Source organism: Homo sapiens, chromosome 2, assembly GCF_000001405.40.
Source record: "Homo sapiens chromosome 2, GRCh38.p14 Primary Assembly".
NCBI classification, from domain to species: Eukaryota; Metazoa; Chordata; class Mammalia; order Primates; family Hominidae; genus Homo; species Homo sapiens.
The window spans coordinates 96,899,668-96,914,477 of record NC_000002.12 but is presented as its reverse complement, the minus strand read 5'-3'; the positions used below and the strand labels follow the sequence as shown (position 1 = coordinate 96,914,477).

Below are 14,810 nucleotides of genomic sequence, written 5' to 3'. Positions count from 1 at the left end.
GGAAGGAAGCCTGGAGTCTTTAAGGTGGCCGCTAAGGCCCCTTTGCGGTGTGGCCCTGCCCTCTGCTCTTCTTCTCCCTGTCCCTGCGGTGCACTGGGCACTTGTGTCTTGATGCCCACCCTCCCTCATGCCCGCACGTTGGTAGGAGACTCCCCCCTTCTCATCATGGTGGTCTCTGCTCACATGTCACTGCCTCAGAGAGGTTTCACCTGATCCTTTTTTCCAAATGAGCTGCCACCTCAGGGCTCTGCACAACCTCCCTTTCCTTCATTTTTCTCCACGGACTACCAGGACCAGAAGTGAACTATGACCAGCCCTCCCCATGAGTATGAGCTCCCTGGGCGGGAGGGCCCCGTCCATCTCCCCCATGTCTGCATCCTCAGCACCCAGAACAGAGCGTGGACTAGAATATCACGGGTGCTGAGTAAATATTTGGCAAATAAGTAAAAGCCAACAATGTTTGGCTCTCTTCTGATCTCTTCCTGTGATGGAAATACATTGAGGTTTGCGGGGGGTGTGGGCTTCCTTCCTGTGTTGAGGAGGCGTCTTCCTCGCACCCTCCTCTGCACAGAAGCCGGGAGTCAGGCACTCCTTTGTTCCACCTCTGGGAGCGAGACCCAGGCCTAACCACTTGGATGCTCCTGAGGAAAGGACTCAGGGACGGCAGTCCTCACAGGCTTTTCTGGCCAGGGACCCTGCTGCTCCACACCCCTTGGCCAGGTTCTCCATCTTCCTGTGAATTCTGGAGCACCCCAGGATCCTCTCAGTGTTCTTATGTCTGGAGCAGCCAGCCAAGCAGGTTCTGTGTGGCCACCAAGGAGGAACTGACTGATGGAGCGGAAGTGCAGACAGGCTAGGGAGAGAGCAGCCTCACGCTCGTCAGGTCCTTGCGCACTGGGGATAAGAGCTGGGACAGGCGCAGATGCACCGTGGCTTCCCTCGAAACCCTCGTTTCCCTCCCATTTTGTTCACTTCCTCACTGTGGGGCCAGAGGGCCCCACCTTTCCTTCTCCCCTTACCACTGCCCGGCCCTGGGTCAGCTCCTGGACCCCTTCTCCACTGTGGACTCCCTGCCTGCCTGTTCTCAGACTTGAAACTGCACGGCCAAACAGTGATGCCACATGCATGTCCCTTGTCCCCACCTTGGCTCTTGACCCCTTCAGGCTGCCCGGAGCCACAGCGAGTTCCTGGCCAGCCTCCTGGGGACCTTAGCAGACTCCATGCTTCCTGCTGCTGAAGCCTCTGCACTCCCAGCGAACAGCCACCCCCACTAGACAAACGCAGTGCTCTCAGTTCTCACCTCCCTGCTGCCCACTGCACCCTTAATTCTGGATCCTGGCAGTCCTGCCTCTCCCAAAACCTTCTGCAGTCATCCCTTATTCTTGTACCGTTTGCTTTTTGTTCACTAGCTTTCTCTGCAGCAAATAAATGCGTTCCTGCGTCTCCTACCTTAAAACAGCCGTTCTGTCTCCACCCACATCTCCCTCGAGCTCCTGCCGCAGCTCCAAGCTTCCTCCCCCAGTTCTCTTTCACTCATGGCTGAATCCTGCCCACCCTCGGGCAGGTTGGATTCTTCGGAGCTCAGAGTGTCACAGAGAGCTCTCACTGTGGGCGGGTGAGGCCAGAAGGTCTGGAAGGAGGCAGTCAAGGCCCAGTCAACCTGGAGATTTCAGAAGGGCACCAAACCTGGAGGAAGGAACAAGAGGCAAGATGAAGGTCGCATCCGGAGCCTGGGCTGGAGCTGGGAGGCAGACAGCAGCGTGAAGGTGGGCGGCGGTCAGGCCATGATCGCCAGGAGGGGGACATGGCTGGAGAGGACGCGGCTCCCTCTCAGGTGGGATGTCTGAAGGACCTAAAGGGCCAGGAGCTGAGGAGACACCTCTTGGGGCACCAGGCACTCCAGCCAAGCTGCTCCGTCACCAGGGACCTCTCGGGCTCTTCCTGATGAGCAACCAGCACTTCCTTCCCTGGGCTTCCCAGGGCCCTCCTGGCTTCCTCAGCTGCCCTCAGGGATACCCCTCCCCCACCAGCCCTCGAGTCTTGGTGGGCCTCAGGATTCCACCCTAGCCCTTACTGTGACACAGGCCCATGAAGTCGGGGGTGCTAGGTGCCCCCCACTTGCCCCGATCCAGGACTGGGGCACTCTTTCCACTGCTGGGGGTGGCAGAGGAGTCACCTCTGCCAAAGGTGGTCACCTTACCAGGGCTGGGCCCCTTCCTTGGCAGCAGCCCAGTGCTGAGACACAAAGATCTTCCCCGTTGCCTTAGTTGAGGATGTCTCCGAAGGACCCTGCTGGCTCCGGAGTCCTTGTGGGGTCAGCTGAGGCCTTCACTGGCTGCGTGGCAGCCTGGTTTCCTTTGTCTCTCCCCGCATAAATTCCCTGCATCCTCTCTCCCTACGTAAATTCCCTGCTTGCTAATATCCATTTCAGAGCCTACTTTCTGGGGAAGCCAGCCTGAGACACCATCTCATCTGCACCCGAGGCCTCAGCTCCAGGCACATGCTAGCAGCTCCCAAATGAATACCTGTGGCCAGACTTTGCTGCTGAGCACCTATCTGTGTGGCACATGTCTGGGATTCAGCATGTGGGAAGCAGGAGTCACCGCCTTCCCAGGAGGACCCCTTCCCTGTCTTCCATGGCTCCATGAGTGGCACCAGTGTCTGCCCACTGCCCAGGCCTGGAGTCCTATGGACAGATTCGGTGCCCTGGAGCTCCCCAATCTCCCACAGTGCTCATTCCTCCTCACCCTCCCTGTCGCTGCCTTGGTGCAGCTCTTCCTGCAACCCCCTTGGATTTCCGCCAGAGCATCCCACTGTCTCTTTCCAGGCTTTCTCCACCAGCTCCACCTTGTGCTGTCCCGGAGTGTGACCGTCCTTCAGATGCTCATGTGTTCGCATTGCTGATGTGCATAAAATCTTTCAGACTTTCCCCCTCAGGGTGAAATGCCACGGTGCAGCCTGGGGTTGGAGGGCATTGGTGCCCCCTTTCCCAGGCTCACATGCCACCCTGCTCCCTGCAGGCTTCCACGCTTTTGCCGCGTCCTAGAACTTGGCAGCCACCCCAACTCAAGATGATCATTTGCCTCCAAGCTTTTCCGCATCTGTCTCCTCCTGGAGAGGCCTCTTCCCATTGTCCTCCTCTGCCTGGTTCACATCTCTTCAGCCTCAAGACGAGGCTCCGGCCAAGGCATCTCCTCTTCGAGCAGCCCTTGTTGCAGGCCCATCAGGCTGTCCCCCTCACTGACGCGGGCCGTGAGCATCAGAGGGACAGGTGCTGTGGCCGTACTCCCTGAGTCCACAGAGCCTGGCATGGCAGGGGGACTCACTCAGCACACTCGTGCTTTGTCTGCTTCTGGAGGGTAGATTTCAAAGAAGCATAAAGAGGTAGAACTTAAAAAAAAAGATTCTAGGGCCAGGCACGGTGGCTCACACCTGTAATCCCAGCACTTTGGGAGGCTGAGGCAGGTGGATCACTTGAGGTCAAGAGTTCAAGACCAGCCTGGCCAACATGGTGAAACCCCGGGTCTACTAAAAATACAAAAATTAGCCGGGCATTGTGGTGTGCACCTGTAGTCCCAGCTACTCAGGAGGCTGAGGTTGTTGTAGTGAGCCAAGATCACGCCACTGCACTCCAGCCTGGGCGACAGAGCAAGACTGTCTCAAAAAAAAAAAAAAAAAAATTAAGAAGAGAGATGTCTCAGGTGGGCTGGGAGATCTTGCACTGAAGCTTTGAATATGGATTACAAAGGAGCCCAGTGAGGAAAAGAAGGGAAGCATTAAAGGCTGCAGGGGCTCCCCTCAGAGCTTGTTCGTGGTCTCAGGTTTGGAAAGAAGGGCACCAAAGTAAGGTAGCCGGACAAACGGCGTGGACCAGCGGGAGTGTTGTTGGGAAATGCCGAAGGCCATAAAAGGAGTTTCTGTGTAGTTACTTTTGAAGCAAGGAGTGCGGTTTGGGGCTGACAGTAAAACGTTAGCCCTGATGCAGACGGAACAACACTACACAATTCGTATTTTGCTTTTGCCGTCTTTGTCAAGGAGAACAGTTTTTCATTTGGAATCAAATATTGGTCGTCGAAGGGGGTTAAAGCCTAAGAGAGTGTGGGAGGCTGCATGACCAACCTCACTGTGCAGAGGAGGCCGTCTCCCCGGTGGGACGGCGTCTCACTGCTCCTGGGAGACATGAAGTTGGGGCCGTGGCTCCATGGGGACTTTTGGAGGCGGAGGGCTTCCAGGAGATGGGGGCAATGGTGCTTGATGTGCTCCTCCAGGTTATTCTCTAGGGGATTCCGGCTTGGGAGCACATACGTAGAAAAGGAAACACTGCTTTCTAGGAGTCCTAACAAGAAATCATACCAGGCAAGCCTCACTTTTCCACAGGTCAACCAGAATCATACTCCAGAGAGGACTGTGCAGTGCCTGTATGTAGGTTTCCTGGGCATTTGGTAGAGGCTGTCACCATAGGCTGGGTTCGGCATGAAGGAATGCGGGTCAAATGATGACAGAATGAAGTGGGCTCATTATCAAAAGGTGCTGCTGGCCATCAGAGTGTGCCCAGAGGGCAGGCCCTGTCACCACCCCGAGTTCTGTCTCCACTCACAGGTTGGCCAGGGCAGGCCCAGTGTTTTGGATGAGGCTATTAATGGAACAATGGTCAGATTCACAGATGACATGAATACAACTGACAGCAGACCGAAGATCCCAGAAGATCTCAACAGACTGTAATGATGGACTGAGTTGAAAAGGGAGGCCCAGCTGCACAATTAAGAACAGGATCTGGGAAATGGGATTTGACAGCAAGACGTGTGAAAAAAAAAGACTTTGGGCTCAATCTGTTAACTGCGTTGTGTTGTGGGGCTGCCAAGAAAATGAGCATCAGCCTCAACTCCGAGTGTCGCACTTGAAAGGGAACATTGACAACCCCCAGGGCCGTCAGAGGACCCAAACCAAAATGGCAAAAAAAGATACAAAAAGATGGGAATGAGGGGGCTGTGGCACCTGCAGGAAGGGGCAGCCACGGGAATGTGGCAACTTCTTCCAAGCGTAGAGGACCTAGGTTGGCGGAGAGCTCCCTCCTGGAGGCCCCAGAGGACAGGATCCAGAAGCTTTGAGTGGAAGTCCCAGAAGGGCAGGTTTTGGCAAAATATGGGAACGATTTCCTTTGGTTAGTCCGGTAAATGAATTTGGGCTGTCTTGGCAGATACTGCACTTCCTTTGCTGAAGTGAACACTTATTGGGGGTGTGGCAAAGAGAATTAAAATGGATAACTATGCAGAAGCTAGATTAGGTGACTTCAAGGTGTTTTCTTTTTTCTTTTTTCTTTTTTTTTTTTTTTTTTGAGACAGAGTCTTGATCTGTCGCCCAGGCTGGAGGGCGGTGGCGTGATGTCGGCTCACTGCAACCTCTGCCTCCCAGGTTCAAGTGATTCTCCTGCCTCAGCCTCCCAAGTAGCAGGCATTACAGGTACCTGTCACCACACCCGGCTAATTTTTGTATTTTTAGTAGAGACGGGGTTTCACCATGTTGGCCAGACTGGTCTCGAACTGACCTCAGGTGATCCTCCCACCTCAGCCTCCCAAAGTGCTGGGGTTACAGGCGAGAGCCACTGCGCCCAGCAGACTTCAAGGTGTTTTCTAAGCCTGAGGTTCTGTGATTTTTATCATACAAAGAGGGAGATGAGAATGGAAGTTGGTATGATTGTTCATGTGTACCTTTTAATTTACTTATAATACGTGTGAATGGAAGGACCCATATCATAGGTGGACACTTCGTGCCCTTTGCAAAAGAGATCATCCATGTACCACCTGACCATGGGACAGAATGTCTGCCGCTCCCCAGAAGCCCCATCAGGCCCCTGCCAGGCGTTCCCTCCTGCAGAGGTAATCACTTTCACAGCTTCCATCACATAGATTCATTTTACCTGTTTTGTTGGTTGGTTGGTTTTTGAGAGATGGGGTCTCCCTATGTTGCCCAGGATGGCCTCGAACTCCTGACCTCAAATGAGCCTCCTGCCTCAGTTTCCCAAAGTGCTGGGATTACAGGTGTGAGCCACTGTGCCTAGCCCAATTTTGCCTGTTTTTAAACATTTATATAAATGGGACCATGCAGAGCATTCTCCCTTGGGTCTGGCTTCCTTGGCTCAACACCTGGTTTGTGGGGCCTCTCCACGTCAATGTGCGTGGTTATATATAGACGGGTTCCTCATGTTGCCCTGTGGTGGTCCACTCGTCTGGGTCTGTGGCCGACTGTGTCCCGCCGTCTATTCCCGTCCACACTCTGTGTGCTCAGACTGGTCTGTGGATGACCAGGCAGTCTGGTGGCTGTGGGCTTGCAGACCCCCGGGAGGGACAACCAGCTTCTAAGCCCACCCCCTTGTTCTTCCCACCTGGCAAGTGCGCAATGAAGAGTCCAGGGAAGGAGTGCCGAGCAGGTGGCTGACAGGCAGCCTGATGGACAAGAGGCCCGGGGTGCGAGCCAGGCGGACGCCCTGAGGCAGCATGTCAGGCAGCATTGCCACGGTGGAACAGGCCACTGCCGTTGCTTCCTGAGCTGCCCTGGAGACTGGAAAAGGCAGCTCATGCCTTTGGCCAGGTGCCTGACAGCCTTTTAGGGCAGTTCAGTCTTGGCAGGGCCCAGTTCTCCTCCCAGGGAGTGAAGACAAGGGGCTCCAGAGGGGCTGTGCTGGCCTATGTCACTGCCCGACATCCCAGCAGCCCACGTGGTTGGTGCCTTTGCCTTCCTGGGTGCCCCTTGCGGAGGCTAGGAAGCAGAGCGCTGGCATTCCACTTCTGGCCCTGCTGCGGGTTTGGAAAAGTCATTTGTGAATGTCTCAGTGCCTTCGACTCCTCTGAGTGCTAATCCAGTGTCCTGGTCTTGTGGAGGCCCTTGGTGGGTGGAGGGGGACAGGGCGGAGGCAGAAGCTGGCCTGGCCTAGCCTGGCCTGGCTGGTGCACGCCAGGGCTGGAGCCTGTTGCCTTATATGACAGTGGCTGGGATGGCCCCATGGCTTCTGCCTCCTCCTCTGAACCTGGTTGGAGTTCCGGGGAGGCCTTGCCAGGTGGGGTCAGGCCTCTTCTATGGGAGGGAGAGCCCACAGCCAGCCTCAGCCAGCCCCTCTGCTTGTGCCCTGCACAGTCTGGGTGGTGGTGGGGTGAGGCTTTTCTTTTTCTTCTCCATGGAATAAGTTCTCAGTCTGTAAAATAAAAAAATGGTCTCGCCCCGCCCCCTGCCCCCTCCTTGCTGTGTCCCAGTGGGAACTAAGAATGCAGGACGGGGTTTAAAAGGCGGGGAGGGCCATCAGGATGAAAGGCAGTGGGCAGGCGGGGACAGCAAGGGGGCTCGCCACTCACATGTGGGTTTCTTTTCATCCATGCACCCTCTTGGTGCTTCTTGTGGTGCTTTTCTTCATTTCTGGATAACAGCCCCATCCTGACCCACCCTGCCCGCCTCTTCCCTTCTGGAACCACCCCTGGCACTGCTTTGCCGGCCTGCCTGCTCCCCTCACCCCCGGGCCGGGCAGGCCCTCCTCGCCCGCTGTGAGTAAACGAGTAAACGAGCTCCCGCGCAGGCCTCAAGTTTTGGATTAATGAAGCCCAGATGCAGACTTCTGACTGGCTTTGAGTTCACTGTGGAGCAGCTCAGAGGGGCCATTGACCTCCCACTGTGTTCCCGGCCCAGCTGCTGCTGGGGCTCCCAAACAGCTGGAAAGCTGGCCCTGTCTGACAGGGAGGCGAAGGCCTGTGCGTGGGGGAGAACCTGAAGCTTGGGGCTCTGGGTGTGGGGCCACGGGGTGGCCTGCACCCACGGGGGTCTGTTGTAGGGGCCGTAGAGAGGGGATAAGGGGCTTCTGTTAGTTATCCCATGGTTCAGTCCGGGTGGGCGCTGCCTTTCCTCAGTGCTCAGTGTGGGGGAAGTGGGAAGTGTTGAGTGAGTACACAGTGGTGCTGCACAGGAGGGGGTTGAGGCTGAAGGGGCCCAGGGTCAGGGCACCCCCACGATGGTTCACATCAGGCCTTCACAGTCAGGCATGGAGGGGAATGGTTGGTCCCTCTCAGGGTTGCTAGACACGATGCACATATCACATGGGATAAACTTATGCCAGAAAAATTATTTTCGGTCGGGCTTGGTGGTACATGCCTGTGATCCCAGCTACTTGGGAGGCTGAGGCAGGAGAATCGCTTGAACCCAGGAGGCGGAGCTTGCAGTGAGCTGAGATGCCGCCACTGCACTCCAGCCTGGGAAACAGAGCAAGACTCCTGCTCAAAAAAAAAAAAAAAGAAAGAAAAAGAAAAAGTATTGGCTGGGCGCGGTGGCTCACACCAGTAATCCCAGCACTTTGGGAGGCTGAGGTGGGCAGAACACTCAGGCGGATCACCTGAGGTAGGGAGTTCAAGACCAGCCTGACCAACATGGAGAAACCCCGTCTCTACTAAAAATAAAAAAATTAGCTGGGCGTGGTAGCACATGCCTGAATCCCAGCTACTCCGGAGGCTGAGGCAGGAGAATCGCTTGAACCGAGGAGGCAGAGGTTGCGGTGAGCCGATATCGCACCATTGCATGCCAGTCTGGGCAACAAGAGAGAAACTCCATCTCAAAAAAAAAAAAAAAAAAAAAAAAAAAATATATATATATATATATATATATATATATATATATATATATACACACATATATGTATATTTTTGTGTATATATATTTTGTATTTTTAGTAGAGACGAGTTTTCTCCATGTTGGTCAGGCTGGTCTTGAACTCCCAACCTCAGGTGATCCGCCCACCTCGGCTTCCCAAAGTGCTGGGATTACAGGCATGAGCCACCGCACCCGACTTAACTGGGCATCTTATATTTTAATCTGCTAAATCTAGCAATCCTATCTCCCTTCCAGCTGAACTTTTTTTTTCTTTTTCTTTTTCTTTTTTTTTTTTTGAGATGGAGTCTCGCTCTGTCGCCCAGGCTTGAGTACAGTGGTGTGATCTCTGCTCACTGCAACCTCTGCCTCCCGGGTTCAAGCAATTCCCTGCCTCAGCCTCCCGAGTAGCTAGGATTACAGGTGTGTGCCACCACGCCCAGCTAATTTTTGTATTTTTAGTAGAGATGGGGTTTCAGCATGTTGGCCCAGCTGGTCTTGAATTCCTGACCTCAAATGATCCACCCGCTTCAGCCTCCCAAAGTGTTGGGATTACAGGCGTGAGCTACTGTGCCTGGCCTGAATTTTTTTCTTAATTGTTTTATTGAACTACAATATACAAACAATAGAGCAAAGACAGTTAAGTGTATGGCTCAGTGCATTTTCACAAGTCCAATGCACGTGAAGCCAGCACCCAGGTCAAGAAATGAAACATGATCAGAACCTGCCCCCCACCCCCACCCCAGGGTCATGAGTATCCAGACTTCCAACAGCTGAAGTTTGCCATTTGCATTTTTTTTTTAAGAGTTGGGGTTGCCTGTAATCCCAGCACTATGGGAGGCTGAGGTGGGTAGATCATGAGGTCAGGAGTTCAAGACCAGCCTGGCCAAGATGTTGAAACCTGTCTCTACTGAAAATATAAAAATTAGCTGGGCGTAATGGCAGGCGCCTGTAATCCCAGCTACTTGGGAGGCTGAGGCAGGAGAATCGCTTAAACCCGGGCATAAAAGAGTTGGGGTCTTGCTGTGTTGCCCAAGGTAGCCACAAACTCCTAGGCTCAGGCAGTCCTCCCACCTCAACATCCTGAGTAGCAGGGACTGCAGGCGTGGAGTACTGTAGCTGGCATGCCCATGTTTGTACCTCATATAAATGAGACCCTGTTGGCTGGGCACAATGGCTCATGCCTGTAATTCCAACACTTTGGGAGGCCAGGGCAGTTGGATCACCTGAGGTCAGGAGTTTGAGACCAGCCTGGCTGACATGGTGAAACCCCGTCTCTGCTAAAAATACAAAAAAAAAAAAAAAAAAAAAAAATAGCCAGGCATGGTGGCGCGTGCGTGACTGTAGTCCCAGCTACTTGGGAGACTGAGGTAGGAGAAATGCTTGAACCCGGGAGGCAGAGGTTACAGTGAGCCGAGATCATGCCATTGCACTCCAGCCTGGGTGACAGAACGAGACTCTGTCTCAAACAAAACAAAACAAAAAATGAGACCATGCAGATACATTTTTTGTGTCTGGCTGCTTTCCTACCACACTGGAGGTCGTTCATGTTGTTGGAGGTACTTGTGGTTCATTCATAATCACAACACCCCCCCGTAGGACTGAGCTGTATGGATACAGCCTGATCTGTCTGTCCACTGTGCTGTTGCTGCTGCTGCTGCTGCTGTGCAAACCTTCTAGTGCCTCTCCTTTTTTTGCAACTTTGTACCTAGGAGTAGGATTGCTGGGCATGGGGTGGGCATCTACACATCTTTAGTAGATCTTGCCAGTTTTGGGCAGTGGCGCACCCATCAATATCCTGCCAGCTGTGTGTGAGTGCCCATAACCCTGCGCCCCCACCAGCACCTGGCATGGCCCCAGCTCGTGTTGGCTCTTCTGGGGTGCGGTGCTGCTGCTGCTTGTTCTGCTTTTTGAAAAATCCAAGAGTCCGCTGCTTTGTCGAGTCCTCTGACTTTCTTGACTCTTTCCTAAGAAAATCTAAAAGTGCCCCAGGATTTTAGACCCTAGATTAATGCCTCTGTGATCCCAGCCTCACCGGAGCTTTGAGGAAGCCATTCCTGCCTCAGTTCCCGTTCACCCAGGGAGCCTCTCTGCATGCAAGGCTGGGGTGAGAGGTCCAGGGGCCAGGGGTTCCAGGCACAGCTGTCTCTGGGCATTCTCAGGGCTCTGTTTCAGCCTCTTTGCCTCCCTGTGGCTTCCTCTTCCTGATTCTCCCTCCAGGAGGCAGGATGGCCACCAGTGGCTGTAGTGGCGGCCCTGCTGGAAAGGCCTGCATGCCTGCACTTTGCTGATAGTTCAGCCACAGCCCGAGGCCACCTCTCAGTGACTGGGTCAGGTGCCTGTCCTGGGAGCCTGGCAGGAGATGGATTTCCCAAAGGAAAGCCCAGTGGATACTGGGTGAAAAGAAAACCATGAAGTTTGGCCTGCTGAGGCCAAGTCAGTCCCCCAGCCTCCCCCACCCTGCAGAGGTGGAGCCACAAAGGAAAGAAGAGGCAGAGGCGTATTGAAAAGCAGTTCAGCCGGGCGCGGTGGCTCACGCCTGTAATCCCAGCACTTTGGGAGGCTGAAGCGAGCGGATCACGAGGTCAGGAGATCGAGACTATCCTGGCTAACATGGTGAAACCCTGTCTCTACTAAAAATACAAAAAATCAGCCGTGCATGGTGGCGGGCGCCTGTAGTCCCAGCTACTCAGGAGGCTGAGGCAGGAGAATGGTGTGAACCCGGGAGGCGGAGCTTGCAGTGAGCCGAGATTGTGCCACTGCACTCCAGCCTGGGCGACAGAGCGAGACTCCGTCTCAAAAAAAATAAAATAAAATAAAATAAGCAGTTCAGTGCTGCTGCCTCTATGGATCCATGGATATGTATCGGCAGAGGGGATAAAAAACTAAGAAAAGCCCAGCTCTGTGGGCCTCTGAAATTACCAGGGACTTGAGTTTTTGTGTGGATTTATTATTTAATTTTCTGATCATGAGAGTTTCATTCCTCCTAGAATACATAATGCTGTAAGCCAATGGAGAAAGCCCTTTGCTGGGGTACCCCAGATGGAGGGTGGCTCCCCCAAAGTCCCCTCTCCATGGGTATCCTGCCCCCTGCTCGGGCTCCCCGACTTCCAGCACACCCTCTCTCAGGCTGTCGCTTTTCCCCCAGGCGGCTTCGAAGCCAGCTCAGCCTTGTGGTCATTGCTCGAATGCTGGGCCAGCAGGAGATGCTCCCTCTCTGGCAAGAGAAGACCCAGGTGAGTGTTTGCTTCAGGCCTGGGCAGGAAGGCCATGGCCTGCGGGCTCTGGAGGCTTTCCCCAAAGGCCAGGAACATCAGGCCCCAGAGCTAAGCTGGCTCTGAACTCTCTACTCATGTTCTTTCATCAAGAATTACCGCTTGCATGCCAGCCATGTGCTAGGCGCTGAGGACAGAGCAGTGAGCTGAGAGCCTGTCTTTTTAAAAAATTGTAGTTGCTGGGCACGGTGGCTCACGCCTGTAATCCCAGCACTTTGGGAGGCTGAGGCGGGCAGATCATGAGGTCAGGAGATCAAGACCATCCTGGCTAACACGGTGAAACCCGTCTCCACTAAAAATACAAAAAATTAGCCAGGTGTGGTGGCGGGTGCCTGTAGTCCCAGCTACTCGGGAGGCTGAGGCAGGAGAATGGCGTGAACCTGGGAGGTGGAGCTTGCAGTGAGCCAAGATCGCGCCACTGCACTCCAGCCTGGGCGACAGAGCGAGACTCCATCTCAAAAAAAAAAAAAATTGTAGTAAAAGCTGGGTGTGGTAGCTCACACCTATAATCCCAGCACTTTGGGAGGCTGAGGTGGGCGGGATCGCCTGAGATCAGGAGTTTGAGACCAGCCTGGCCAATGTGGTGAAACCCTTGTCTCTACTAAAAATACAAAAACTAGCTGGGCATGGTGGCGGGCACCTGTAATCTCAGCTACTTGGGAGGTTGAGGCAGAGAATTTCTTGAACCCAGGAGGCAGAGGTTGCAGTGAGCATTTAATTCAAATAAATGAATTAAATTCATTTATTTAATTTTTTTGTAATCATCTTAACCATTCTTAAGCATAGTGTTTCAGCCATTTCTAAGTGTACAATTCAGGGACCTTAAGTTCATTCACAGTGTTGTGCAGCCATCACCACCATCCATCTCCATAACTCTTTCAACTTCCCAAACTGAAACTCCACACTCATTAAACACAACCCCCCAACAGTGCCCACAGCCCATTTTTTTGTTGTTGTTTATTTTTTATAGTAAAGCATAAAAACAAATACTGTTTGTAAAGATGAAAACAAATACTATTAAATTAAAACTACTCCCTCTGGTGTCCCCTCAGTCCCCAGGGTTAGGTATTGTTGGGGCAGCAAGGGCATTAAGAGGTCGGCCTTCTGAGCCGGGCGTGGTGGCTCACGCCTGTAATCCCAGCACTTTGGGAGGCCGAGGTGGGCGGATCACTTGAGGTCAGGAGTTCGAGACCAGCCCGACCAACATGGTGAAACCCCGTCTCTACTAAAAAAACAAAAAATTAGCCGGGCATGCTGGCAGGCGCCTGTAATCCCAGCTACTCGGGAGACTGAGACAGGAGAATTGCTTGAACCTGGGAGGCGGAGGTTGCAGTGAGCCGAGATCGCGCCACTGCACTCCAGCCTGGGCGACAGGGCAAGACTCTAAAAAAAAAAAAAAAAAAAGAAAAAAGAATTCAGCCTTCCTGTCCTGTTCCTCTTCTCTCCAAAAAGCTCTGACTGCAGGCTCCTGGCAGCTCAGAGGACGTCACTTCACGGGGTGATGAAGGGGTCACTGGCAGCCCAAGGATGGATGGAAGGGAGGTTGAGCGCGCCCGCACCTCCGCAGTAATCTTCCTGGAATCCTGGGAGAAGAGCTGCTGGGTACAACTGACCCTTCCAGCTCAGCTACACTAGGGGTGCTCTGGCTAGAGGCTGTGCATCTCTAGCCACTGAGGCAGCATAACCCCTTGCCCAGAGGGCTGAGACAATGTTCCAGCACATCCCTGGGTGAGGTGGACCATATGTCTGAGTCCCAGGTGCTGTGACTGCAAGGAGGGAGTTCAGAGAGGTGACCGGTGGGGTTGGGTTGTCTGAGCGGCTTCGGCCTGGCTTTTGCCTCAGATGCCTCCTTTGCCTTGAATGCTTCCCCCAGGCCTTAGTAGAACTGGAGCTTCTTGTCATTCCCACTCCAGCCAAAATGTCACCTCTGCAAGGGGCCTTCCTGACCACCCAATCCAGAGTGCCCCAGCACTGGCTGTCATCTTGTCCTAAGTCACTCCTGGTGGCCACCCCCTGATCTTTTCCTATTTGTTTGCTCAGCATCTGTGTTTTCCATCCCCTACCCCCAAGCAGAAAATAAGCCCCTGAAGAACAGGGAACACGTAGTTTCTGGCCCCTGCTGCCCCTCGGCACCTGGCGGTGCCTGGCACACCCCGGGAAGGCAGTGCACGCTTGTGGAAGGGACAGGCACCCAGGTGGGTCGTCGGGGTGCATGGGGAGAACGTGCCCCAGCTGAGACCTTGGGAGGGGCAGTGAGGAGGTGACCGGTGCTGAGGTTACTTCATAGATGGTCTCTGTGAGGAAGGAAGAACAGAGGGACCCAGCGGTGTTGCTGGGAACAGCCAGCAGTTAGAGGCAGGGGGGAGCACAAGATGGGGTGCCTGGGAGGGCTCTGGGATGCAGGCTGACGGACAGGCCCAGCGCAGAGTGGAGGCCAGAGGGGGCGCGACACAGGTGGCCAGAGAGAGAGTTAGAGCCAGTTCAAGGCTTGGCATTTTGCTTCATTTTGTTTTTTCTTGGCCAGCAGCTGTGCATAGAGTGAGGAGAGCTTGGTGGGGCTGCCTTCCTGGTGGAGGTCAGAGTGGCAGAGGGGAAGTGTCATGGAGGAAGGGCTGGGTCGTTGGGCCCAGGAGTTGGAGGCTACAGCGAGCTATAATCACACCACCGCACTGCAGCCTGGGCAACAGAGCCAGACACCTTCTCTTAAAAAAAAAAAAAAAAAAAAAAAAGAGTGGGGAATGGGGGCGCGGGAGGCAGTGTCTCTGGCCTGTAATCTCAGCACTTTGAGAGGCTGAGGTGGGAAAATCATTTGAGCCCTGGAGTTCTTTACAAAAAGTAAAATAATTAGCTGGACATGGTGGCATGTGCCTCTAGTTCCAGCTACTTGGGGTGGGGATGCTGATGTGGGAAGAT

At 53.9% G+C, this 14,810-nt stretch overlaps 1 protein-coding gene across 1 annotated transcript in view, besides 3 other annotated features; it reads left to right on the top strand.

Moving 5' to 3' along the window:
- The window catches only part of FAM178B (family with sequence similarity 178 member B), a 110,696-nt gene that overhangs the window by 72,103 nt on the left and 23,783 nt on the right, over nt 1-14,810 (top strand). Inside the window, exon 13 of the mRNA NM_001122646.3 lies at nt 11,771-11,858. Coding sequence (NP_001116118.2) covers nt 11,771-11,858 — 88 coding nt within the window. The remainder of the gene's footprint in view (nt 1-11,770; nt 11,859-14,810) is intronic.
- Nucleotides 555-1,242: an enhancer, noted in NCBI's record as "H3K4me1 hESC enhancer chr2:97578973-97579660 (GRCh37/hg19 assembly coordinates)". NCBI's record gives its function as "activates a minimal SCP1, AML or CMV promoter by ChIP-STARR-seq in primed H9 embryonic stem cells {active_cell/tissue: H9 hESC(primed)}" and the evidence as "EXISTENCE:reporter gene assay evidence [ECO:0000049][PMID:30033119]".
- Nucleotides 7,211-7,806: an enhancer, noted in NCBI's record as "NANOG-H3K27ac-H3K4me1 hESC enhancer chr2:97572409-97573004 (GRCh37/hg19 assembly coordinates)". NCBI's record gives its function as "activates a minimal SCP1, AML or CMV promoter by ChIP-STARR-seq in naive H9 embryonic stem cells {active_cell/tissue: H9 hESC(naive)}" and the evidence as "EXISTENCE:reporter gene assay evidence [ECO:0000049][PMID:30033119]".
- Nucleotides 10,291-10,790: an enhancer, noted in NCBI's record as "H3K4me1 hESC enhancer chr2:97569425-97569924 (GRCh37/hg19 assembly coordinates)". NCBI's record gives its function as "activates a minimal SCP1, AML or CMV promoter by ChIP-STARR-seq in naive H9 embryonic stem cells {active_cell/tissue: H9 hESC(naive)}" and the evidence as "EXISTENCE:reporter gene assay evidence [ECO:0000049][PMID:30033119]".